Source organism: Homo sapiens, chromosome 8 (assembly GCF_000001405.40).
Source record: "Homo sapiens chromosome 8, GRCh38.p14 Primary Assembly".
NCBI lineage: Eukaryota > Metazoa > Chordata > Mammalia > Primates > Hominidae > Homo > Homo sapiens.
The window spans coordinates 60,878,975-60,905,924 of NC_000008.11; the positions used below are offsets into that span (position 1 = coordinate 60,878,975).

The 26,950-nt window shown below is 42.2% G+C and overlaps 1 long non-coding RNA gene across 1 annotated transcript, besides 3 other annotated features; it reads left to right on the forward strand.

Annotated features, from left to right (window-relative positions):
* The first annotated feature begins 20,716 nt into the window (after nt 1-20,716).
* LOC124901951 (uncharacterized) lies at nt 20,717-25,605 on the forward strand. The gene is made up of 3 exons (XR_007060924.1): nt 20,717-21,233; nt 21,421-21,519; nt 25,006-25,605. It is a non-coding gene; the product is annotated as an uncharacterized LOC124901951 (long non-coding RNA).
* Nucleotides 20,853-20,912: a silencer, noted in NCBI's record as "silent region_19230". NCBI's record gives its function as "represses an Ori minimal core promoter by ATAC-STARR-seq in GM12878 lymphoblastoid cells {active_cell/tissue: GM12878}" and the evidence as "EXISTENCE:reporter gene assay evidence [ECO:0000049][PMID:35858748]".
* Nucleotides 24,365-24,414: an enhancer, noted in NCBI's record as "active region_27429". NCBI's record gives its function as "activates an Ori minimal core promoter by ATAC-STARR-seq in GM12878 lymphoblastoid cells {active_cell/tissue: GM12878}" and the evidence as "EXISTENCE:reporter gene assay evidence [ECO:0000049][PMID:35858748]".
* Nucleotides 24,435-24,524: an enhancer, noted in NCBI's record as "active region_27430". NCBI's record gives its function as "activates an Ori minimal core promoter by ATAC-STARR-seq in GM12878 lymphoblastoid cells {active_cell/tissue: GM12878}" and the evidence as "EXISTENCE:reporter gene assay evidence [ECO:0000049][PMID:35858748]".
* Nucleotides 25,606-26,950: the final 1,345 nt, after the last annotated feature.

The following is a 26,950-nucleotide window of genomic DNA, read 5'->3' on the forward strand; positions in this document are numbered from 1 at the left end:
TGTATACATATATTTAATTATGTAAATGGTATCTTGTTACGTATCTTGTTCTATTTTTTAAACTTGTACAAGTTCATCTTAACACTCTATTGAAGTCTAATTGGCATACATTATACTGACCAGTTTAGATAACTTTTGACACCTGTGAAGCATCACAACAATCAAGATAACGAACATACCTGTCTCCCACTAAGGTTTCCTCATGTTTCTCTGTTACTGTTACCCTCTACCCTCCCCAACCTCTTATACCCAGGCAACCACTAATCTGCTTTCAGTGGGTTAGTTTGTATTTTCAAGAATTTTACATAAATGGAATTATATGGTATATACTTTTTATCTGACTTCTTTCACAAAGCATAATTGTTCTTCAGATTCATTCATGTTATATGCATCAATAGTTCACTTCTTTTTGTGACTGAGGAGTATTCCATTGTACGAATATACCCGTTTATTTATCTAGTCGCCTGTGGATGGACATTTGGGTTATGTCTGGTTTCTGGCTATTATAAATAAGGCCACCATGAATGGCCATGTACAAGTATTTTAATAGACATATACTTTTGTTTCTTTTAGATAAATATATGACAGTGGAATGTCTGGATTACATGGTAGGTTTATGTTTAACGTTTTTTTTTTTTTTTTTTGAGATGGAGTCTCACTCTGTCACCCAGGCTGGAGTGCAATGGCACAATCTTGGCTCACTGCAACGTCTGCCTCCCAGGCTCAAGAGATTCTCCTGCTCAGCCTCCCAAGCAGCTGGGATTACAGGCACCTGCCATCATGTCCAGCTAATTTTTGTATTTTTGTAGAGGTGGGGTTTCACCACACTGGCCAGGCTGGTCTTGAACTCCTGACCTCAGGTGATCTGCCCATTTTGGCCTCTCAAAGTGCTGGGATTACAGGCGTAAGCCACTGTGCCCGGCCTATGTTTAACTTTTTAAGAAATTGTCAAACTTTTCTGCCAAAGTGGTTGTTGCCTTATACTTTCCTATCAGAAGTGTTTGTGTTTTAGTTTCTCCACATACTTGTCAGCACTTGGTATAGGCAGTTCTTTTAATTTTAGACATTCTAAAAAGCACATAGTGGCTTTTTTTCTTTCTTTTCTTTTTTTTTTTTTTTTTTTTTTTTTTGAGGCAGAGTCTTGCTCTGTCACCCAGGCTGGAGTGCAGTGGCACGAACACAGCTCACTGCATCCTCAACCTCCTGGGCTCAAGCAATCCTCCTGCCTCAGCCTTCCCAGTACCTTGGACTACAGGTGCATGCTACCTGTAGCTTGGCTAACCTTCCCTTCCGCTTCCCCTTCCCCTTCCCTTCCCTGCTTTCTTCTTTTTCTTTTTCTTTCTTTCTTTTTTTTTTTTTTAGAGGTAGGAGCTCACCTTGTTGCCTAGGCTGGTCTTAAACTCCTGAGCTCAAGCAGTCTTCCTGCCTGAGCCTCCCAAAGCACTGGGATTACAGGCATGAGCAACTGCACCTGGCCCATGGCATCTTATAATGGTTCTAATTTCTATTTCTCTAATGATTAATGAAGTTGAGTATCTTTTCATGTGTTTATTTGCCATTCATCTGTCTTCTTGGTGACGTGTCTATTCAAAACCTTTTGCCAATTTGTAGGGCAGAGTGCTTGTTTTCTTATTATCAAATTTTGGGAGTTATTTTTATAATCTGGATACAAGTGCTTTACCATATATACACTTTAATATGCAGGTATTTTCTCCAACTATGTGACTTATTTTCACTTCCTTTAAAGTCTTTTGAAAAGCAGAAGTTTTGAGTTTTGATAAAGCACATTTTATCAATTTGTTCTTCTATGAATCATATTTTTGGTGTTGCATCTGGACTTTAGAGTCCATTCCCTTGATCTATTAATCTATGTTGATGCCAAATACCACACTATCTTGATTACTGTAGCTTTAGAACAAGTCTTGAAGTCAAGTTATATAAGTCCTCCAACTTTATTCTTCTTTTTCAAAGTTATTTTAGCTATTCCAATTCCTCTGTATTTCCATATAAATGTTAAAATCAACTTGTCAATTTCTGCAAAAAAGCTTCCTGAGAATTTGCTTGAGATTATGTTGAATCTATGTATGAATTTGGGCAGAATGACATCTTAAAAATACTGAGTTTTCCAACTCACACATCTGATTTTTAAAAAACTTTTTTCTTGTAACATTGACATTTTTAAGATTAATTTGTGTTTCTATGTGTATATACTACATTTCTTCTAACTCTTGCATGAACTCAGCATGTCTTAGTTTACTATTGCTACTATGACAAATTATCACAAACTTAATGGCTAAAAACAACGCAAATGTGTTATCCTACAGTTCTGGAGGTTAGAAGTCTGAAATTTATTTTACTAGGCTATAGTCAAGGTATCGTCAAGACTGGTTCCTTCTGAAAGTGCTAAGAGGAGAATCTTCTTCCTTGCCTTTTTCCATTTCTAGTGGCCCCTTGTATTCTTTGGCTGTCACCCCTTCCTCCATCTGCAAAGCCTGTTGCTCCAATCTCTGCTTCCATCATCACCCTGCCTTCTCCTCCGACTTCTGAGAACTTCTTGTAGACTGGCGTCATTACATCAGGCCACCTGGGTGACCCAGGATAATCTCCCCATCTCAAGATTCTTAATTTTATCACATCTGCAAAGTAGCTTTTGCCATATAAAGTAACATTCACAGGTTCTAGGGGTTAGGGAAGGGCATCTCTGGGGACCCTTGTTTAGCCTACTGCACAGTGCCTGTGTCCACATTTTAGGGCCACTTTCCCTGTGGCAGGCATCATAAAGTGTTGTCCCCAACTCCTTACCACTACAAAGAATGTTGCAAAGAGCATTTGCATTTCATATCTTTTTATGAACTTGTGTGCAAACTTTCTTTTTTTTTTTTTTTTTTTTTTTTTGAGATGGAGTCTCCTCGCTGTTTCCTAGGCTGGAGTGCAATGGTATAACCTCAGCTCACTGCAACCTCTGCCTCCCAGGTTCTAACAATTCTCCAGCCTCAGCCTCCCAAGGAGCTGGGATTACAGGCGCCCATGACAATGCCTGGCTAATTTTTGTATTTTTAGTAGAGATGGGGCTTCACCAGGTTGGCCAAGCTTGTCTCAAACTCCTGACCTACATGATCCGCTCACCTTGGCCTCCCAAAGTGCTGGGATTACAGGCATGAGCCACTGCGCCCAGCCAAGTGCAAACTTTCTTAGGATTTGTGCCCAGAAATGAAATTGCACTGAAGGATCACTGATGCGCTCCTGTGGTGATTACAGCTGGGAAATGGCTGGTTGCTCTCCAGAAAGGCTGTGCTGGTCAATCTACCTCACCAACCGCATATGAACTTTTCTGTCTCCGCTTTCTCACCAACATTTCCTATCACTTATCTTCTTAATTGTTGCCTATGGTTGTGTTTTGCATTTCTCTAATTACCAGTGAGTTTTGTATATCTCTTCATGTTTGTTAACCTTTTGATTTCATCTTTATAAACTGCCTGTTCAGCCCTTTTGCCCATTTTTCTACTGGTGTTACTGTTTTCCAAGTTGGTTTTATTTAGAAAGTCAGTCTCTGGCCCTCTATCAGAAAAGTGTTATCCTAGGTTTTCTTGACTTTATAGTTTTACCTTTCACGTTTAGGTTTTCATCTATCTGGTGTCACCTTCATCTGTGTTATGTCAACATGCGATCTTACTTTTCTCCATAGTGAGACAATTTTCCCATTATCAGCTACTAAAAATTCTGTCCCTTATTGGTTTGTAGTGCTACTATTATTACATATTAAGTTCGTGTGTGTGTGTGTGTAATATTCTATTAGCTTCTTTGTTCTTGCATCAATATCACACCTTTTTTATTACTATGGCTTTATGCTATGCTTTTTTTTATAGTGTGAAAGATCCACTCTACTATTTTCAAGATGGATTTAGGTGTTTTATTCTTCCCTATACATGGTAATAAAATTTGAGTTCCTCAAAAATTTACTTCATAGTCATGATTATGATGGCATTGAAATCATGGATTAATTTAAAAACATTTACATCCTTACAGTAACAAGTTAGCCATCTAAGGGCATGGAATAGCTCCCCATTTTTTTTCAGATCATCTTTTATGTTTTTAATCAAATTTAGTTTTCTCCACAGATGAATTCAGGATTCCTGACCAGTTCGTAGATTTTGGTACCATTATGAATGAAGGATCTTATTTTAAAATTTCTTGTTGGGTATTTTCTGGCATAAAAACTGTTATTCATTTTAGTAGGTTGATCACACTGACAAACTTTCTAAACTCTTGATTAGTTCTAATGGTGTGTTGTTGATCCTTTTCTCTAAGTAGATGATCATATTTTCTGAAACCATGCCAGTTATATTGCTTTAGAAAATATTTTTCCCATAATCCTGTGAAAGCTTCATTACCTAAATTAAGAGCCTCTCATTCAAGACATCGCTACTTTTCTTGTTAAGTATAATAACATTTGAAAGGTACTTAATGATCACTCTCTTTTTGTCATTTCAGCATACCTGTGAGAAAGACAAGAACAGGAGAGTTGTAATTTACAAGGATATAGTCACTGTGAATTATTAAATATATATACTCCCTGCTGGGCCTTTCTCTTTAGAATGCTTTGTTTAGTCAACACTTTAAAATATACTTAGTTAGAAGAATAAATTTAGTTAGGGGAATAAAATTCAGAAAACCTTAATCAGAATTAAAGATAAAATGTGTAAAGTAATGACATCATATCCCAAGTAATTATCCCTCATTCAACATTCTGAGGATTACTAGATCTTTTCCTTTCTCAAGTTATTTGTTTACTCAGTAAATTACTCAGATCTAGCCTATTCTATAAAGGTTGGGTCATTTTTTCCAAGTCAGTTACACATCCTGTTTTTTAAAGGAAGCAAATAATAACTTGGAACTTTTTTTTTTTTTTTTTTTTTTGAGATGGAGTCTTGCTTGCTCTGTCACCCAGGCTGGAGTGCAGTGGCGCGATGTTGGCTTACTGCAAGCTCTGCCTCCCGGGTTCACACCATTCTCCTGCCTCAGCCTCCCCAGCAGCTGGGACTATAGGCGCACGCTGCCACGCCTGGCTAATTTTTTTGTATTTTTAGTAGAGACGGGGTTTCACCGTGTTAGCCAGGATGGTCTTGATCTCCTGACCTCGTGATCCGCCCACCTCGGCCTCCCAAAGTGCTGGGATTACAGGCTTGAGCCACCATGCCCGGCCGGGAACATTTTTTTAAGCTTTACCCATCTAGGAAGTGTGTAGTATCATGGTTTATACTTATATAGTTACCCTAAAGTTGTTCTAAGTATTTGTTATGTCTTAACTCATTAAGGTCTTAACTCAGAAAGGTCTGATCCTTTTGACTGAAATATCTGGGGGAAAATGTCATTGGGTCTGGTCAGCCATCCCATTACTGGGTATATACCCAAAGGACTATAAGTCATGCTGCTATAAAGACACATGCACACGTATGTTTATTGCAGCACTATTCACAATAGCAAAGACTTGGAACCAACCCAAATGTCCAACAATGATAGACTGGATTAAGAAAATGTGGCACATATACACCATGGAATACTATGCAGCCATAAAAAATGATGAGTTCATGTCCTTTGTAGGGACATGGATGAAATTGGAAATCATCATTCTCAGTAAACTATCGCAAGGACAAAAAACCAAACACCGCATGTTCTCACTCATAGGTGGGAATTGAACAATGAGATCACATGGACACAGGAAGGGGAACCTCACACTCTGGGGACTGATGTGGGGTGGGGGGAGGGGGGAGGGATAGCATTAGGAGATATACCTAATGCTAAATGACGAGTTAATGGGTGCAGCACACCAGCATGGCACATGTATACATATGTAACTAACCTGCACATTGTGCACATGTACCCTAAAACTTAAAGTATAAGAAAAAAAAATACATGATCTATTAAAAAAAAAAAAGAAAACGTCATTGGGTCTGGTGCTTCGGAAAATTGGGATCTGAATAATTTTTTATTTTATCTGTCACCTATCAACTTCCCCATCACAGGACATACTGCAGAGATGTGATGGTCCAGCAGAAGCGCAGCCTTCCCCTTATGCATTCACATGCTGGAGCTGGAAAAAAGCTGGAGGAATCCAACCCATTCAAGTTATGAGGAAGAACCAACTCTTTTCAGTCCACCCAGCTGGTGAGAAGCAGGTACTAACACTTGGGTATGCTTTCTCTCACCCCAGTTCTTCCACCAGCACACAAAATGCCCTTCCCCCCACTGTCACAAGGTTGAAATGTAGTTAATCATCAAGAACAAGGATGGTGTGGAAGGAAATGAAAGGGGCAGATACAGCCTAGATAATAAGTAACACTATATTGGGTACTTTTCTCTTAAGACTCATATCAATTCAAAAAAAACATAGATTATAATAGCTAACACTATTAATCCTTGCTATATGCATTTTACATGGATTATCTCATTTAATCCCTGCAAAAGCCTATGATATGGATGTTATTGTCATTCCTATTTTATAGATGAGAAAACGGGCTTCAAAATGTCAAATAACTTCCCTATGATGCCACTAGCCAGTGGCAGAGAAAGGATTCAAATCAAGAACTCTCTGATACATAAATCCGTGTCCTTAACCATTAGCCTATCCATGGGCAATTTTCTTACCTCCATTTTACAGCTATGGACTCGGCATAGCCCAGTGTGGCAGAGTTCTTAGATACAAGTTATGGCAACCAACTCTGGTTCACTTACACAGAAAGAGAGTTGGTTCATTTATGCAGGAAGAGGAAACCTAGCAAGCTCACCAACTCCAGGTTGCAAGAACCTTGCGGTTCTCTGAGGCACCCCATCTATGCTCCTATTGTCCACTGCAGAGCAGAACTCCATTTCCTCTTTCTTAGCAGACGGATTACTTCAGTCAAAACCCATACCATCCCCCACACACCACACACTTTCTTTTTTCTTTTTCTTTCTTTCTTTCCTTTTTTTTTTTTTTTTGAGACAGAGTCTCACTCTGTCACCCAGCCTGGAGGGCAGCGGCGTTATCTCGGCTCACTGCAGCATCTGCCTCCTGGGATCAAGCTATTCTCCTGCTTCAGCCTCCCGAGTACCTGGGTCTACAGGTACACACCACCATGCCTGTCTAATTTTTGTATTTTTAGTAGAGATGAGTTTTCACCATGTTGGCTAGGCTGGTCTCCAACTCCTGGCCTCAGGTGATCCACCTGCCTCGGCCTACACTTCCTTTTTTCAATCCAGTGGCAAGAGGACTTTGAAATGCCCAGGTGTGAGTCTCAGCTTCAAATTTACAATGGAACCATTGCTGCCTCGCCTGCTGGAAGCATTCTTCCCTTATTTATTAAGACCTCTAACAAAGCCCAGAGCTCTGGGGTCAGAAAACAAAATAGCTGCAAGTGGTTGTGAGGCTTTACTATTCCTCCAACCATCCCTATTCACAGGAAGGATCCACTGCATGTGGATCGCTGATTCCCACTCTCTGTATGTCCCAAACCATTACATCGAGTGGCGTGAACTCACCATTTTTTCAGGTCAAAAATGATGATTCACTGGCAATATCATTTAGTTTAAGAGCAAGGATTTCCCCCTACATTTGCTGTTTCTAGAACTGAGTCTTCATTTGGTTATGCTGCTGTTCTACAAGGGCAGCTGCTTCTGAGATGTGGGCTACAAGGCAAGCTTGGAGACTCCCATAGACTTCAGCCCATTGCCTGTCTTCCTTCACTCAAAAATAAATACTTTAGGCCAGGCGCGGTGGCTCACGCCTGTAATCCCAGCACTTTGGGAGGCAGAGGCGGGCTAATCACCTGAGGTCAGGAGTTCAAGACCAGCCTGACTAACATGGTGAAACCCCATCTCTACTAAAAATACAAACAATTAGACAGGCATGGTGGCACGCACCTGTAGTCCCAGTTACTTGGGAGGCTGAGGCAGGAGAATCACTTGAACCCAGGAGGCAGAGGTTGCAGTGAGCCAAGATCGCGCCACTGCACTCCAGCCTGGGTGACAGAGTGAGACTCCATCTCCAAAAAAAAAAAAAAAAAAAAAAAAAAAATGCTTTAGTGAGAAGGAATTCTATGTGGGTATGAGATACCATCATGATTGATAAGGCATTCATGAAGGCCATGTGTGTCATGAAGGAAGAAGCTTGTTAGGAAGGAATGCCAATGCAATCCAGGTTCATAATAAGTGTTCATTCCAGTGAAAACAAATTGCTACCTCTACAGTTATGGAAAAGATTCAGTGTAATCAACAGGCTACCAGAAGGCAAGCTGCTGCTCCTGAATATGGTGCCACATTGACACTCAGGGTTCATCACTGAAGTAGGCAAGTGGGATACGCAGCCAGGTGAGGAGGATATGCAGCCAGGTGAGGGCCCGTGCTTGTCTCTGAGCCCATGCATAGCTTCCTCCCTCCACGGCCTCTCACTTCATGTACCTATTCGGTGGCACTGGGTTTCTGAGGATAGTGGCTGACTGATATCCCGAGAGGACGGTCATGTCCACCTTATTAAAGAGCGCCTCCTTCACTGGGAAGAATTTTGGTGAGCGTTATCATGGCATTCTTGGTGCCTGTTCTCAGAGGTCAGTCTATATTCTTTCCCTGATCTGGTCACCAACTCTTAATCTTGCTCTTTACTAATTTTTTACTAGGTGGCCAAACAATTAATCACTGTCCACACAGCCTGACTTAAGCTCCTATCTCCTTCTTGGTAAAATAAAGAATGAGAAGAACCAATTATTTATGCTGGGATGATTGCCTTTCTTTACTATTTTTCAAGAGTCAGTGTCACTCTTCAGCAGTCTCTCCCAGCAAACACCTACACATTGTGCAAAGTCATATACACACAGATTTTTTTTTTTCCATTTTCAGTCATCTGATCAGGAGGATTCCCCACGAGGCTCAGGTGTAGGTTGAGGGAAGGGTCATAACATAGAAGGCAATGTACCTGGGTGTGCGAGCCATCTGCCCATACAATTTTCTTATGCCTTCAGGATCTGCACAGCCTGAGTGATGGTGCTTTGGGGAATGCCTGAATTTCTGGCTGGGAGGATGAGATAAAACCTACTTCATAAGGCAGAGCTCAGGTTCACCTGGTATTCTATGATTAAATATGCAACATCCATCAGGGTCCAGTAGCAATCTTTTCTCAATAGAAAAATAATTCTTGCCAAGAGGTTGGGGCTTTACTTCTGAAACCCTGGCAGAGGCTTCATATAGTTGCCTCACTTGCTACTTGCACTTTGAACACCCTTGGATCCAATCTTAAGGCTCAAATGGAAGAGCTCTTTCTGCCACAGACTTGTCCAGTTGGAGACTGGTGGGGCCCTTCTTAAAGCTAGTAACCTTTCAATTACCTGGTACTTGGGGGAGAAAGCACAGCGAAATGTGGCATATGTTGCCTCCAAACTCCAAAGAGGTTCACAAAGTGTCGTACTTCTTTATTAGGGGCTGCAAGATGAAACAATTAGTTCTTTACTTTTGAGAAGATATGCCTTCAGTACCCCCATGGATCTCCCAGAAAGTTTACTGATGTGTCCTTCATTTTATTTTCATGGGATACCTCTGGCTTATGCTATCTTACCAAGAAATCCATGGCACCTGCTATTTTCTGCTCTCTGAGTCCTATCATACTGATGTTATCAATGTGGTAGACCAATGTGATGTCTTTTGGGAAAGCAAAATGATCAATTTTCCTTTAGCACAGAGCCCTAAAGCAAGAGGATGAAAAGGTTCTGGTGCCCAGCCTGCCAGAAACAATCTTCTGATGTTTTGTATTTATTAGGATGGGAAAAAAGCATTTTTGAGATCAGTACTTGCATGGAAAATACCAGGGGCTGAGTTGGTTTATTTCAGTAGAGAGAGACCACATCTGGAACAGTGGTGGCAATTAGAACAACCATTTTATTAGCCTTATGATAATCCACTGCCATTCCTTCTCCAGAGTGCTTTTATCCTCTGCATCACCCTGAGCTCTGTTGCTTATAACTACTTCTGTTTCCAGTTCCTTTATCAATGAACATCCTTAGTCAGAAGCAACAGAAACTGGCTCTGGCTGATTTATGTATGGTATAGCCCCTCTGTCTTTCAAGTCTTTGGCAAAAGAATTTATCTCTGGGCCACGTGCGGTGGCTCATGCCTGTAATCCCAGCATTTTGAGAAGCCGAGGCAGGTGGATCACCAGGTCAGGGGTTCGAGACCAGCTTGACCAACATGGTGAAACCCTGTCTCTACTAAAAATACAAAAAAAAAAAAAAATTAGCTGGGCGTGGTGGTGGGTGCCTATAATCCCAGCTACTCAGGAGGCTGAGGCAGGAGAATTGCTTGAACCCAGGAGGCAGAGGTTGCAGTGAGCCGAGATCGTGCCACTGCACTCCAGCCTGGGCAACAGAGCGAGACTGTGTCTCAAAAAAAAAAAAAAAAAAAGAACCATTTCTGCAGTTCCCCCAAGGGTAGAACATAGTTTTTTACTTACTATTTGCTAGGGAGAGCATGTGTCAAGGACTTCCATTCATTTCTTCCACCATTGTAGCCTTTACTCCACCTCTAAGGGAGAGCTAAAATGAGGACTGGACTGATTATTGAGATGACACGTGCCGTCAGTGGGGGTTCAGGGTTCAGGATTCAGGATTCCACTGAATCTCCTGGGAGAGGACTTTGGTTGAAACTCTATTTCTTACCTCACTCCCGAAAAGCTCCCTCTTTGATGAGAGGACCACAGTGGTGTTCTGGGTCTCCAGGAGGTGGTGCTTGCTAAGAGCATCAGCAATCTATCCTGTAGAAAATGGGAACCATGATGCTATAAAAAGCATTAGCCTTCACCTGATCCATGCATCTCTCAATGCTTTGGTGAAGGGAGTGTTTTCTTGGGACCCTCTTTGGAGATGCAGTAAGTAAGGTTTGAGGGAATGTGTTTCACTTACTTGCTCATGATAAATCTGCTCCCATCCTTTCTCGCTCTCCAACCCCCACGTCTTTGGAATCTTTCAACTATATTTTATCAACTAATGCCTGGCATCTCAATCTCATTCAGCAGGGACTATCATTGAGTACAGGTTTCTGCTGACTAAACAAGTAAACAACCGAATTTGTTCCCAACTGTCTGGGCTAGCTCAAAGAATCCAGACTCTCTGGAAAATATACCTATACCTGTGAAATTCAGTTCAATCTACAGGTGTATACTTCCCACTTTGATGTGGCTCTTCACAGTACATCTTCATATGTGTTTGCCAGATTTGTGTTAAACTAAATTACTTCTTTGGTGTACAATTTTTTGGGGGCTAAGATTTGGTATTCTACTTGGCCTTCCAGAACATTCTGGGACCTGACTCTACTTAAAAAGCTAATTAGATGTCTAAGAAAGTTGTAGATGTGGGTCGTAAGGATAATTTTTGCCCAGATGAAGTAGTTGGGGAGGTTCTTCCAGAAGATAGCAATAGCTTTGTTGCAAAAGACAGGATGGACTTTCCTTGTCTGCATGGAGAACTCAGGGGGAGCCAGGGGATCTTCGCACTCTGAGTCCACTGGATCCCTGCAAGTCCCCATTTCAATCGCAGGCTTTTACTCATTCCTAATCAATGTGCTACATTTTGCATAAGAGACCTAGGAAAGCTGTGAATCCATAAGCATACAGTATCCAACTTTGAGTTTAGTTTTTGACCTCCTCATATCCATGGCTGCAAGAAATAAGAGTTTCCTATAAAAATTCCAAGTTTAAAGATGATGCTTTGAGTCAAGAATTTAGATACTTGAGCTTTTTTTTTTAAGTTGACCCCCTCTGTAGAGACAACCACCCCACCCTTAGATCTTTAATTCCTCATAACCTTCATAGCACTGTTGGCAGGGACCCATGTTCCCGCTGAAGCCTGCTGTGAGGGAACGGGAATTTTTTGAAGGATGACAGGTCATGATGAACCGTTTTGCCACCAAGCCATAAGACCTGACAGAGTCACATCCAGCATTTTTTTCCTGCTGTCTGCCCCAACTAGGCATGATAACAAAACCCAGATTCTCCTCATTACCATAAGGTCTGTTTCTGATAACCACTCCTGGTTCCAATTTCCCCATCTGTGGGCATTTTTAGTTGTAAGCAGCAGAAACTTACTGTGGTCCATTTAAACAGAAAAGAAACTCATTAAACAAGGTACCACACATCTCAGAGAATTTCTAGAAGGGTGAGAGAACAAGGAATAATTCCCCCAAATCAGATCACAGAACGTATCCAGTGAAGATTATGGCTCTTGTCTCCCACATCTGACACCTTGTTCATGAGACACAAGAACCAGCACTATGGGATCTGTTATCCTGGGATCTTGACTTGCTACAACCATTACTGCACCAGGGAGAACTTCTTATGGTGCCACCCCCTTGTGCCACACTCTGACTCCTAGGGCAGGGCACGAGAATTTCGTGGTGGAGCTGAGTCATGGCTTTGCCCTAGCAATCAGGGAGGCCAAGGAAACCTGGCACTTTCAGCTCTGATAATGGGAACTGGGCTCTGCTTTTCAAAAAACTTGTGAGGTGGGAATTCCCTAAAACTAGGAAGGGGATTGTCCAAAACTTTGATTCATATATACTACACCATGTCACGGGATACATCAACAATTCAAAAAATTCTCATTGAGTAGCTATTGCCTTGGGAATAGATAGATGAATAAAATAAAGTCCCTAAGATTATACAGCTTAGAGTCTTGTGTGAGAAACTCATCTAAATAAGTATGAGGCCCTGAGAGCGCAGAGGAGAAGATCATTCATTTCAACTTGGATAACTGAGGAAGACTTAGTAGAAGGAATGATATTTGCATTGGGTCTTGAAGGCTAAATAAGGGCCTATTAAAGAAAAAGTGACGAGTAGAATGAGGGACACGTAAAGAGAGAATTCTAGAGTGTAAGTATTTATTAAACTTGATGGCATAGTCAGGGAATATCAAATAGTCCGAAGTTAATAGGACAACCTAGCTAAAAAGGGACGTAGAGAATAGATTTCAAGATCTTGAAAACTAGGCTGGATATCTATCTTCTAAGGGGAACCAGTAAAGACATTTAAGCAAGCAAGAAAAAAATACAAAACTTCTGTTTTAGAAAGAGAACTTTGGAAGATGGTTTTAAGTGGGAGGAGGCCATAATCAGGAGGAAAGTTAAGTGAGTTATTGCCAATGGCGAGAGATTACAAGGGTCAGAAGAAACATGAAGGTCACGACGATGGATGGGATTGGCCCGAGAATATTCTGGAAGCACAATTTATTAATATTGGCGATAAAATGAATATGAAGTACAAAGGAAAGGGAAGAATTAAAGATAACCCTAATGTTTCTGGCTTGAATGTCTGAGCTGGAAAGCCATTGACTGAGGTTGAAATACAGGAGGAAGTGACAGGTGCAGGAAGAAAACATACTGTTTGGTTATGGACTTTCGGAGTTTGGGGCATTTGAGGCATTCCTGCTGTCTGCCCCAACTAGGCATGATAACCAAACCCAGATTCTCCTCATTACCATAAGGTCTGTTTTGAAAGGTATTTGGGTTGGAAAGTTGGATCTACAGACCAAGAGAGTGGGTCTAGCCTGGATATGCAGATTTGGGATTCATAGGCACAGGAAGGGTGGTTGCTGGCCTGAGAGCCAACCAGGTTGGCTAGGGATAGTGGACAGAACTGTGGACTCCTAGGACCAGCAACACTAAATTTTTAAATAGGAAAGGACTGGAGAAGTGGGTGGAGAGGTAGAGGAAAAGCAGGAGAGAACACATCTTTATAAATAAAAGAGAGGAGAGGGAAGGAAAAGGAGTTACGAGAATCGGGGGTTACAATGGGGCACTCAGCTCCTTTTTTGAGCATGTCAGTGGACTACTAGCAGCAGGACCCAAACATCAGTGAGTCTTGGAAGGGAAGCAAAGAAGGGGAGCTGAGGGGGAGCACGGTTTCATGACTAAGAGCTGAGCAGGAGCCAGACTCCTGATATCTGACTCCAGACCCGCACACTCCTCTGGGACTCCCCAAACACGTTGCTGGCACACAGTCCCTGCTGGCCAGTGTTTGCACATGAAAAAAGGGGTCCTGCCAAGAACCAGGTTTGGACTCTAAGTTAAAGAAAGTTGAACATGCTTTTTTACTGCCAGATGCCTCAGGGAATGTAAGACTGTTTAATGTGCATTGAGAATCTCTACAAGCTGGAGATGACACAAACTCTTAGAATTTGCGTGTTCCTTGGTCGTGAGTTCTCATTTCTTGAAATGGGTGTTTCAAAAGACACCTATGGAGAACTATCATCCTGTTTTATCCACTGTACCCAGTTGCTTCCATAAAAGGGTTATGTCAGAATGCAGTGTAGACTCAGGGGCCTGAGAAGGCGTGGGAACTACTCCCACTGCTGAAAGCCTCAGAGACTTTCAGCATCAGCAAACTGGCTGAATTGCAACCATTCAGAAATGCCTCTCCTTTTTTCATATTTCAATATTTCTGAAATCAAGGTGGGCCTTATAATTGATAAATATATTTAATATAGTGCTTTTGGCTGGGCGCGGTGGCTCATGCCTGTAATCCCAGCACTTTGGAAGGCTGAAGTGGATAGATCACCTGAGGTCAGGAGTTCGAGACCAGCCTGGCCTGCATGGCAAAACCCCATCTCTACTAAAATTACAAAAATTAGCTGAGGGTGGTGGCGTGTGCCTGTAGTCCCAGCTACTTGGGAGGCTGAAGCAGGAGGATCTCTTGAGCTAGGGAGGCAGAAGTTGCAGTGAGCCAAGTTTGCACTACTGCATTCCAGCCTGGGCAACAGAGTGAGACTCTGTCTCAAAAAAAAAAAAAAAAGAAAAAAAAATATATATATATGTGTGTGTGTATATATATATGTGTGTGTGTATATATATGTGTGTGTATATACACAAATATTTATGTGTGTGTATATATACATATATATATATATAAAACATAGTGCTTTTTTTCTTAATGCCCCATGCTTGTTATTAAACCAATAGTGTAGAACAACTCAGATATTCATATTGCTGCAGGCAATTTTAGTACTGAGGGATGATAAAATTAGTGAGAGAAAGTTTGAAAAGAAACAGGACATTTACATAGCCTCAAATTATCTCATTTGCTCCCTGCTTCCTTTTTTATTACAAAGGGAAAAGTAATAATGTTACTATGGAGAAACCTGGCAGACTCCACCCTGACCAAGGGACCAAGGTTAACATCAACAGTCATAAGACATATTGGCATCAGGTACCTCAAAATATGATACACTGAGAAGACCACATCCCCTCTGTAATATCTCCCCAATAATGCATTACCTCTGTCGAGTCATGAGAAAACATCAGGCACAGACAAACTGAGGAGCATTTTACACAATACCTGAGTAGCATTTTTCAAAAGACAAGGAAAGACTGAGCTGAGTGACTGTCACAGATGGGCAAGGAGCAGGAGACATGACACCTACATGCAAGGTGGGACATTGGAGTCGGTCCTGGAACAGAAAAAGGACCTTAGTGAAAAAACTGGTGAAATCCAAATAAAAGTCTGCAATTTGACTAACAGAATCATACGAGTTTCTTCATTTTATAATTATATTATGGTTACTTAAGGGTTAACAAAGGGGAAGCTGTATGAGGAGTATACAGAAACACTTTGTACTATTTTGGCAACTCATCTTTGCATCTAAAATTATCTCAAAATAGAAAGTTAAAACCAGAAAAGAGAGATTTAGCCTCTTCCCCATGTGATGCCCTGCACAGCCTTGGGACTCTTCAGAGAGTCCCCACAGCAAGAAGGCTCTCACCAGACGCATCCCCTTGACCTTGGACTGTCCTGCCTCCAGAACTGTACCCTGTAAGCCACTTTCTTTCCCTTCATGGGACAGAAACAAAGACACGGGGAAGTTGTAGGCCACAGCGACCAAAAGGAATGTTGAGGTGAAGCTGCAGAGTGAAGCTTCTGCTTCCTCAACTCAGTTGAGCAGCATAAGGTGGTGGGAGCAGCAGGGACTAGGCAACACTCAGCTCACCCGGGAGACTCGCTAGGCTTAGGAGGGGCAGAATATGGTGTTTGCCTCGTCACTGAAACCAGAAGTTGTTGCCTAAATATACTACCAAAAACTCTCTCTGAAGTCTCTGTTTAAGAGCCATGGAAGATGGGAAAATTAATATATTTCTTTTCAAATCCAACTCAAAAGGCACAAAGAGCTGTTTATGCTCATCACCCGTGTGACAGCCAACTTTCCTTTTTTCACCAACCCACACAGGGGCCTCCGAAAAGTAATATTACTACTGAAAAGTAATATTTCACAGTAAAATTTCATTAAAAGTAATATTTCACAGTAATATTTCATTAAACAAAACAACAAGAAACACACAAACAAAGGATATTGTGCCCTGTAAGCAATGGCACATTTGAATGGAGGGAAAATGCTATGTTCTGTCCTCTCCAGCTGCCTCTTTTCTGAGCTGGTATATCAGGGATACTGGTTGTGGCCCTGGCACTACCTGTACGTGACTGGCGGAGGTAGGAGAGAAATGAGGGGGAGGTGAGGGAGACAGAGAGTGGGCAACACGGGCGGGATGGGGGATGGTATTTGTAAACAGGCCTTTGGGATGCCTTAAATTCTGCCAAAAATTTGAGTATTTGCTTATGGGACTGGCTTTAGAGATCATGATTTATCAAACTAGGATTAGAATGAAGAATATCCCCCGGGAAGGAAGCCAGTCTTGTGCCCCTGAGCCAGTCTCTTATTTAGAAACGGGTTTCCTCCTCATCACAGTGCTCTCCAGGAGTAATTTCTGTGATGACAGAAATTTTTTGGGTCTGTGCTCTTCTGTACAGTTGTCACTAGCCACATGCGCCATGGATCACCTGAAATGCAGCCAGCTTAATGGCAGGACAAGTTTAAATGTAAATAGTCACGTGACCACTGGCTGCCTATTGGACACAGCTCGAGGCACTAGCTTAACCATATTTTTTAAAATCATTATATGGATCAATATAAGCAAAGAGAAATAATTTCAAAGATGAGAATATATGTAATCAACCACCCAAACCCCAAAGATATGTGGAAATAAGAAGTAGCCAAATGAATAGTTTTACAGTTGTACCCAGAATCATGGAATTTCATGGCTGGAAAAAACTTTAGAGCTCATCTGTTTCAACCCACCTCATTTACTGCTGAGAAAGTAGGAGACCAGGGGAATATGTGATTTTTCCAGGGTCAAGGGCGAGATAGGGGCAGAAGCAGAACTAGAGCTAGGTCTCCCCAGCCCCATTCCAGGGCTGTGCAGGACTGCGTACAGCTTCACACACCTAGATTTGCCACCTCATTCATGTTAAACCTGCATTGGTACCAACGAGATATAGATGTACCCCGTTTCTCTTCTCCATACTCCCACTGTTCAGCCTCATCAAAATATCCCAAATGGGATGTTTCCAGAACAATTCTTTTTCAATGAAAAGCATCAAAGCTGCTGTCTTTCAGCCACATGGTCTGTCTTCTGGCCCCAAGGGAGGAGAGCTGAAATAATAAATCCTCTAGAGGATACAGAATCAAGGACACCAGAGAGCTTTCTCATAAATTGCCTCTCCATTACAATTTGAGTATATTCACAATGGAGAACTCTAAATAAGATGAGGGAGAGGCTAATTCATTTTATAAACATCGCTTTAAATCTCTTCGTGTACCTGAGCCATGAAATTAATTAGGACTGTGATGAAACAGAAAAAAAAAAGAGTTGTTTGAAACGGTAATGAATATTACCTATTACCAGAGCCTACTTTCTTAACCGGTTTACTTTCTAAAAGATGAGTAGATGATTTCATGGATCTAAATCTCCTTATGCAAAACCCAGATGAGAGCAAACCACCATTAATTGGGTATTCAGCAGAAAACATATTTAGCAGACAATCTATGTGGTATTCTTATCAAAAGATGTCTCTTGATTCTTCAAAAACAAGAGCAAGTTCCCTATTGGGGCCAACATTGGGAAAATCCATCCTCAAATAGAAATATGAAATTCTAAAGAAGAGTAACCACTTCTCAACAAGTGTGTGTGTGAGGGAGGCTGTTATGAAGATATTCCAGATGTTTCCCTTCTGGTGTGATTTTGGGGTCTTTGAAAAGGCCAGTTCCTTACAAACTCACTCGTGGAATGTAAAGACCAAAGCTTCCACCTGCCTATCAAGGGAGGCTGGTCCAAGAAGTCTCACATGTCATTTGACTTCATTTGAATAAGAGCCCGCTCTGATGAAGATTAAAATTCACTTATTGACGTTGAAGCTTCTTTCTTCCTTTGCTCAAGGTCTTTCCTAAGCAAGACCCAGAAGCCCGCGGTAAAAGACACATCTAGTATGTGAATTAATTTCTGCTGACTGTAAACACATACACACATGATCAAAGTGACATCCTACGCATTCCATACAGCCTTGGCATCCCCAGAGGAGAATGGTGGCTTCTCAATAATCTATACACACGTAAATTATCACAGACACTGCATAAATAATTAAGGATGGTAAAAATATTATAGCAGCAAATATTTACCAAACACTTTCTATGTGCCATTATTTCTTATATTCCTCATGACAATCTCTGAGATATGAAGAATTATTATCACCTTCATTGGCAGGATGGGGAAATTGAGGCAAAGAGAAGTGAAATAACTTGCTTTGAGGCATACAACTACCAGGTGACAGAGTCAGGATTTGAATCTACATTTATCTGACTCAGATCCTGAACTCTTAAGAATTATATTAGTCTGCTATGTTTCACAGGGAGAAGGAGTAGAGAGAGACCAGGAACCAATAAATAATAGGGTCCCATGCCTTCTGGACGATTATTTCTGGCCTGTCAAGAATGTTCCTTGGGGCTGAGCGTGGTGTCTCATGCCTGTAATCTCAGCACTTTGGGAGGCCAAGGAAGGAGAATTGCCTGAGCCCAGGATTTCAAGATCAGCCTGGGCAGCATGGTAAGACCCTGTTTCTAAAACAAAAAAGAAAAAAAAAAAAAAAAGCAAAAAAAATCAGCCGGGGCATGTACACCTGCAGTCCTGGTTACTTGGGAGGCTAAGGCAGGGAGATCCCTTGAACCCATGAGGTTGAGGCTGCAGTGACCTGTGATCATGCCACTGCACTCCAGCCTGGGCAACAGAGCAAGCCCCTGTCTCAGAAAAAAATAAATTAAAAAAAAATAAAAAGGAATATTCTTTGGTTCTACTCATTGCCCCACCCCCTTAATCCTCCCAGGTGCCAGGTGTGGATCCAGTCAATTGGAATATTTGCCTTCAGTGACTTTCACTCTTCATTCCAAGCCCCTTCCTTCCACCCCCGAGCCCTGCCAATACTCTGTAGTCTCAATTTTTGTAGGTCCTCCTGTGCCCTCTCAAATGATATCCAATCTTCATCTATTCTGCGTTCAGAATGTAATGTGTGTGCTAACTGAATCAAGCTTCTTCCTTTAAGCTGAATCTTTGGCTCTGGGAGGACATAATCAATACCTTTACCTCGTGTGTCCCAGTGGTAAGAATTTTAGCCACACCGTTTCCCCCGGGCAGAGCTCTCACAAAGATGCTCGCTTAATAAGGTCAGAGGTGGTCAGGGAGGAAATGGTGCGTGTGTTGGTTTTATCATCAACTATTACAGTTTTTTGCGGAAAGCCAACCTTTGCGTTGCTACACTCTTACACTTTGAAGAATCCAAGAACTCTTTTAGAATTACCACAAAGTTTACTTTCCAAAAATGCAGCTTTCTTAACATGCTGGGGGAGAGACAATCCAAGTGTCAGACTACTTTCCAGATAGATTTTCCTGGCAGTTAACATGTGGGTGCTGCTCAATGAACTACACCCCGGGAAGAAGGCTAAGCTGGGAGTTGGTAGTCTGTCATCCCCCCAGTGGGTCTCTGTTCCCAAGGGCCTCCCATGGTGTGAGCTGAGTGACCCTAGCATTGAAAGAGGTGGTTTCTCTACAAGCCTCGACATGGAGACCAACAACTCCAATTGGTGATTTGCTCAAGAAGCAGTGATCTGCCTGGCAGTGAGGAAAATCTGGATGTCTTGGGCTTTGGAGAATCCCCCCTTTGCAATGTGGCAGCCTCCTAAGGGGTTTTCAAGGGTAATTTTGAAAATTTGTGAGTGTTCCCTGAGAGTGTGAGATATGACACCACTGGGCGATAATAAGTATATCATGTCCTCATAAAAATAACCATCACTGGCTAAGCAGCAACTGTGTTCTGAGCGTCTTTATTTCAGCAGGCATTGTTTTGGAATTATATACATATGCTAGGAATAAAGGCGGCTGATTCCTTCCTTGCTGTATCCAGTTATGTTGTCCTCAGAAGCAAGTGCCAGGCGATGTTCATTCCACCGGCGTCCCTTGGTGGCACCTCTTGTATCTGAGCCATCTAGAGGTAGTCCCCCTTTGTGACTCAGCCTTTCTCTTTCCATCTCTCAGCTCTGCTTTTCTCTGGGTTGACTTCACTTTGGGACCCACTTTCTCCATATGTCAGCTCCTGGCAATTTTAGCTTGCCCACTACAGCAAAGAGAGTGTCCCTTTGCAGAGAGTTACAATGGGCATTCTGGAAGCCAGTTCCATTGGCTGTTGCTACCCTGGTTTGGGTCATATGCTAATCCCAGCACCAGGCCAGGCCACGAAGGTGTGAGTGGTGCTCTCATTGGCCAGTCCTGGGCCTGGAGCAGGGGGCTATGCTGGGTTCAATCCACTCCCTGAAAAAACAAAAGGCCTGAGAGCGGGACGGGGTGGGGGACCCAAGGAGTCCCAGGCTGCTGTGGCTGAAGAAATGGCAGTGGATGCTCACAGGCAAAAACGACCTACGTCAGCTTCTCAGATCCTCTCCGTTCCCACTTCTCTTGCCTCCGTTTCTGCAGTCACTACCATGCAGTCTCTCTCGCCTCCTTTTCTCTACCTCCTCACTATACTAACTCTGCCTTTTACTGCCTCCCAATTTCCACGCCCTCAAGCCTCCTGTTTACTTTCTCTTCTGAGCCTCCTCCTATTTCTGCTTACTCTGCTGTTGTTCCTCTTTTACAGTCTCACATTGAGTTCCCTGGAAGTGTATCGAATTGGGTCTGTTAGCATCTAGGACAGAGTGTCCCTATTAATCAGCAGGGTCATGGGAAGCCAGCTCAGAGCCACCAACCAGCCTCCAGATTGTTTCCTTCAGGTCTGATGCCTTTGCCTAGGATGATCCAGCAGGATGATAGAGCCACATCTTGTGTTATAAATTAAGGGACCCACATAGAAGGTACGACTATTGGTGGCTTTGCTCAGAGTACAACAATCAGAACTTCATGGCCTAAAGAACACATTTGGTATTTGTCCTAAAGGACCAGCCTTCATTATCTCTGTCTATGCTATATAAACCTAACATAACACTTGCTGAAAGAAAGATCTTTATAGAGTAGATGCAATGTGCTTTTTTTATACTCTAGGTGATACCACTGGTGGATGCATGGCTGGATGAAAACTCTAGAAACCAACAACCTCAGTGACTGAAGGAAGATGAGTTGGACAAGAAAAAGTGAAAGAGGGTAAGAAAAGCTAAAAGGTGACCAAGAGATGCTTTTAGAAAAACAAAGGTTGGCCGGGCACAGTGGCTCACGCCTGTAATCCCAGCACGTTGGGAGGCTGAGGCTGGCTGATCATCTGAGATCAGGAGTTTGAGATCAGCTGGGCCAACAAAGTGAAACCCCGTCTCTATTAAAAACACAGAAAAAAAAATTAGCCAGGCATGGTGTTGAGCATCTGTAATCCCAGGTACTTGGGAGGCTGAGGCAGGAGAATTGCTTAAACCCAGGAGGCGGAGGTTGCTGTGAGCCGAGATTGCGCCATCGCACTCCAGCCTGGACAACAAGAGCGAAACTCCGTCCCCAAAAAAAGAAAAACAAAGGTTAAAAAAGACGTTGCTCAGCTATTCCACACCTGCAGGGAGTACAAAGCATGGCAGATGGGTTTCAAAGGTAGCAAGAAACAATTTTATTAAACCAGACGGGAGTAGTAAGAGAAGCTTCTAAAAGCATAGTCTTACACAGGGCCATGGCATAGATTTGTGACTACTTCAATGTAATTGAAATTTAGGAGCTTTGTAATTTGGGTTCTAAAATTTAATAAAATGGGAAGCCCAACAGTTCTTTAATTTCATTTTAATAAAGGAATCTTCATTTTATCTACCATGCTGTCTTCCTCCCTCCCAACTGTGATTACTGGTAGTCAGAACTAGCACCAGGCTAGCATAAAATTGAAGGAGACCCTCACCCAGGCACCAGCACTGCATTTGCGGGGGCCCTGAAGTGAAGGCCTCCTTAAATATTGCACCCAGGGCTCCTGACCCTCTGCAATGGAAGTGTGGTGATTTCATTTTCCTAAAAGCAGAACTTTTTGGTGTTTTAGATGAGGTCAATCACTTTATCCTTCTCTTTCTGACCTGGATTAATAGATTCAGACTAAAAATGAAGAATTTCTTTCGTATGTGTGTGAGACAGAGGTGAAAATGCAAATTTTTCTAAATGTAAAAAAAAAAAAAATCTTGATTTTATGTTAGTTCACTTAACATGAATGATCAAAACGCTCCTCCTGGCTGGGTTTGTCTGGGGCTGCCTGGTCCCCTCCTCTGCTCCGCGCATTTCTGCATTGGCAATGTCTCCCAGAGTCCAAGTGCTTTCTAGACAGCTCATGTTCATCTGTCTTATTAATAATTGGCTGCAACCTTTCCAATTTTCCCCTCTAATAGGCTTGCAAAGTTTTGTTACTTATCACATTATGACCTCAGTTCTTCTAGATTTTTACATTACTCGTCTAACACCTTCAGGGAAATTGAAGGATCACCTGAGTAACTCTATGCTGATGAGGAAGCCTTTGAGGCGAGCACCAGCCTAGACAGGACCAGGATGTTCTCTGGAAACCTGGGTTAATTGTCTCCCGGCTGCTTGGCATAATCACCTCACTCAACTTTCCTTCCAGCAGTGAAAAAATCCTGAGAACAGATATCTCCCCAGAAAACAGTGGGAGCAGTCTTCACTCATTCCCTCACTGAGAGGCACCCTATTCACTCATTCATTTATTCATTCTTCTACTTCCTAAGAGGTCTTACTCTGCACGTTGAGCATACCTTATAGTGATAAGCATGGCATTTCCTTTAATTTTCTTGGAACGTATTCCAGGCTTCTTGCTCTATTAAAAATATGTATGTCTATTCAGGAAGGTTCTTTCTCAAACATTTATTCCTGGAGGAAAAAATCCTTAGAAACTTTGATCAGGGGTGTATGTTTTCAAAATTGTATTGAAAAATAACTGCCTTTTGATGAATAGTAATGAATCATGTTAAACATCAGATGTTTGAGTTGCAACTCTGGTATGAGTGTTGTAAAGAAATGATAGTTCACAGGGATTCCTCATGGGTTCCTGTGATGTCCTGAGGTTTCATTTCAGTGTGTTTGTTTGTTTGAATTAGAGAGAAGCCAGAGAGGTCATCTAGGGGGCCACCTGGCTGGTCAGACTGGTCTCCCAGGGGCACTACCAAAGTGAGTCTCTAGTCTGGTCCTGGCTTCTCAGGGCAAGAAATGATTTGTTAGGGCACCTGGAGGTGTTTGGCTTAGGACTGCCTGTTGCTTAATCAAAATCACAAGAAACTGACATGTGAAGTGTAAGTCCAGTTTATGCATACTTAGTGCAAAATATACCAGCCAAATGGTCAAGAATATGTGTAACACTGGTGGCTGCTGGTGTCTGTCCATAAGAGCCTCCTGTATCCATCTCCATTGCAGGGCGGTCCATCTCAGGGCACATAATAATTTTAGCTATGGTCAGGCTATCCTCCTCCCCGTCTTCTCCCCAACAGTATCAGGGAAAGAGTGACAATTTCTGGATTAAATTATCTTTCTAAAAGTCCCCATGTTTATCATTTCAATTTGGAAGAGTCTTTCTTGAGATTAGTTCTTTTCATTCACTGTGACCAGCCCAGGGACCCATTTGGTGACATGATATTGCCTTCCTAGAAATGTATGCTCACCATCCACTGGGCCTGGGGTTCTTAAGTTTCTCTAAGCCATGCATTCTGTGACTATCACCCAGAGTCTATCATTTCTACAGACAGTTGATTGCATCTAGTATACTAAGAGTTTCTGCGTGTCAGGGGGCCTTTCCTGAAGGGCTGAATGGGCCCTGCTGGTGCCTCCATGTGCAGACAATTTTGACAACGACCACACAAAAGAGAAGAAATGATCGATGTGTCTATGAAACCAAAGCAAACTGAAGGCCTGCTTTGCCTGCCTTTGCTGAACTTCAACCTCGTTTAAGTGTAACAGCAAATAAACGTTGTGTAGAGTTCTCAAGATTTGAAAGCTCCACTCCCTTACTACACACACTGGTGCTCATGTATATACATTTGAACATATGAAAGAGTAAGCAAACCAGTGAAGACAGAGTTTTGTACTTAAAAACACTAAAAATAGTTTAATCTTTCTTGTCTATATTTTCACAATCAAGTTTGTATGTTACAAAGTTCTAAAAATCTCAGTTTGGTCTGAATATTTATATTTAAAAACCAAACCTAATCTGATGGAAAAGCAGATGACGTCTCATTTATGCTTTAAGTAACACACTGAAAATGCATATCACGCCAGTGTGTGTGGGTAGGTTTTGCCTGTTCAAACTCTCACAATAGGCAGAGATGATTGATAACAAGACCAACTCGAGGTTGCTTCTCTGAAACCCCACCCTCTCCCGCAACCTCTGCAAGGACAAGTCGGCTTTCTTTCAGTAACATGAAGACTCAAAGTAAAAAAAAAAAAAAAAAAAAATAGCATTGACTGGTTAGTCAGAATGCTTTCCTGGCTGGAAAACCACCACCGGAGGGGCCAGGAAATGACCATTTTCAGCCTTCTGTGGTACATGAAGTATAAACCATACACAGTATCATGTGAAACCAGGGAAACTCATATATTTCAGGAAAATCCCCTTACCCCTCAGGGTTGTTGGTTTTTGTTCTATGTGAATCAAATTCCTGTATTTTCCTACAGAGCAGCTATGGTTCCCGCTGGAAGGAAACGGAAGACTTCAGTTCTCTGGAGGGAGCTTCTCCCGCAGCATACAGGTTCTTGCTGGAACCCTGTTGCATTTCCTCTGTAGGACACACAGGTTTATCTAAGCTGTGAAAGCAACACAGAGATAAGACCCATGGTGTTTTCCTTGTTAGAAAAAAGCTGTCTACTTCCTGTCTGGAGAAACCAGGGACACTTGATTTTGAAGGGACTTCAGCAATGTAAGCACAAAATCAGCCCCTTCTCTTTAATTTAAATTCCACCCTTCTCTTGGGTGACGGCTGTTTCTAAGTTATTTAAAGATTTAGAAAGTAGCTAGAAGGTCACTGGGTTTGTGGCGGCATTGGCTTTTAAGCTTGTGCAATAAAACCACATTCGGCTTGTTCCCTAAGGTGAGGGCAGAAATGACTGGACGGAATGCCCACCTGCCCATACAGTTTGAAGAGAACAGTCCAAGTTCTCAAATAGTTCGAAACCTTTTAAGAAATCAGAAATAGTAGGAAACATTGCATCTGAAGTCACAGAATATGTTAATATTAACCCGTGTGGCTGGAATAAATGTGCAAGCTGATGTGTTAATCTCTGACGTATTTGGAGATATTTCCTTTATGTAAATAATTTAAACTGTCCACAAGATAACTTCATTTTCTACAGAGTCCGATTTGATTTTAACATTTTTTGAAGATCATGGGAGTTTATCATTTTGTTTTTGGTTTCATTCAATGGTAGCAATCTGAGATAGTCACCTGCCCATCCCAGGTCCAGTTGTGTAACTTTTAACAAGTTATTAAACATCCTCATGCCTCAGTTTCTTCATTTATAAAGTGGGGATAATAGTATCTACAGCCGGGCACGGTGGCTCATGCCTGTAATCCCAGCACTTTGGGAGGCTGAGGCAGGCAGATCACTTGAGGTCAGGAGTTCGAGACCAGCCTGGTCAACATGGTAAAATCCTGTCTCTACCAAAAATATAAAAAATTAGCCAGGTGTGGTGGCACGTGCCTGTAATCACAGCTACTTGGGAGGCTGAAGCAGGAGAATCGCTTGAACTCGGGAGGTGGAGGTTGCACTGAGCCAAGATCATGCCACTGCACTCCAGCCTGGGTGACAGTGAGAATCCATCTCAAAATAATCACAATCATAATCATAATCATAACAATAATAATAGTATCTACCTCTGAGGGTGCTTCTCGATTAATTTAGCAAACATTGTTGCATGGTCCAAAAGTGTTATTCATTGAAGATACATGGAGAGCAATGCCTATCCCTGACTTCCTGGCTCTTAGGGATCAGGGAGAAAAATGGAGGTGTAAGGAGGCATAATAATAATAATAATAATAATGATAATGATAATGATAATTTTACATGGTGTTAAGCTAAGAAGAAAAAGAATAGGTTACGAGGGTGATTTGATTGATTTGAGGGAAGGCCTCCCTGAGGTGGAGACATTTAAATGGAAGAATTAAAAAAATAAATTAGCCAGGCAAGGGCTAGGTATTGCAGGCAGAGGAAGGGGTGCGTGCAACGGCCCTGACGTGTGAATGTCTTTAAGGCTGAAGAAGCCAAGCAGGTGGAGGCATGTGCTATGGGCTGATGGAGTCAATTGGCAGGAGGCAGGTCCAGGTGGTGCTGGCTTGTAGGCCCAGAGAAGCAGTTGGAGTTTTCCTGAGTTCAGTGGGAAGCCACTGGAAGCCTTTAACACAAGGGCAGGACCTGACCTCATTCACAGTTTTTTTTTTTTTGAAACAGAGTCTCACTCTGTCACCCCAGCTGGAGTGCAGTGGTGCAATCTCGGCTCACTGAAACCTTCACTTCCCGGGTTCAAGTGATTCTCCTGCCTCAGCCTCCAGAGTAGGTGGGATTACAGGTGTCCACCAGCATGCCTGGCTAATTTTTTTTTTTTTTTTTTTTAGTAGAGAAGGGG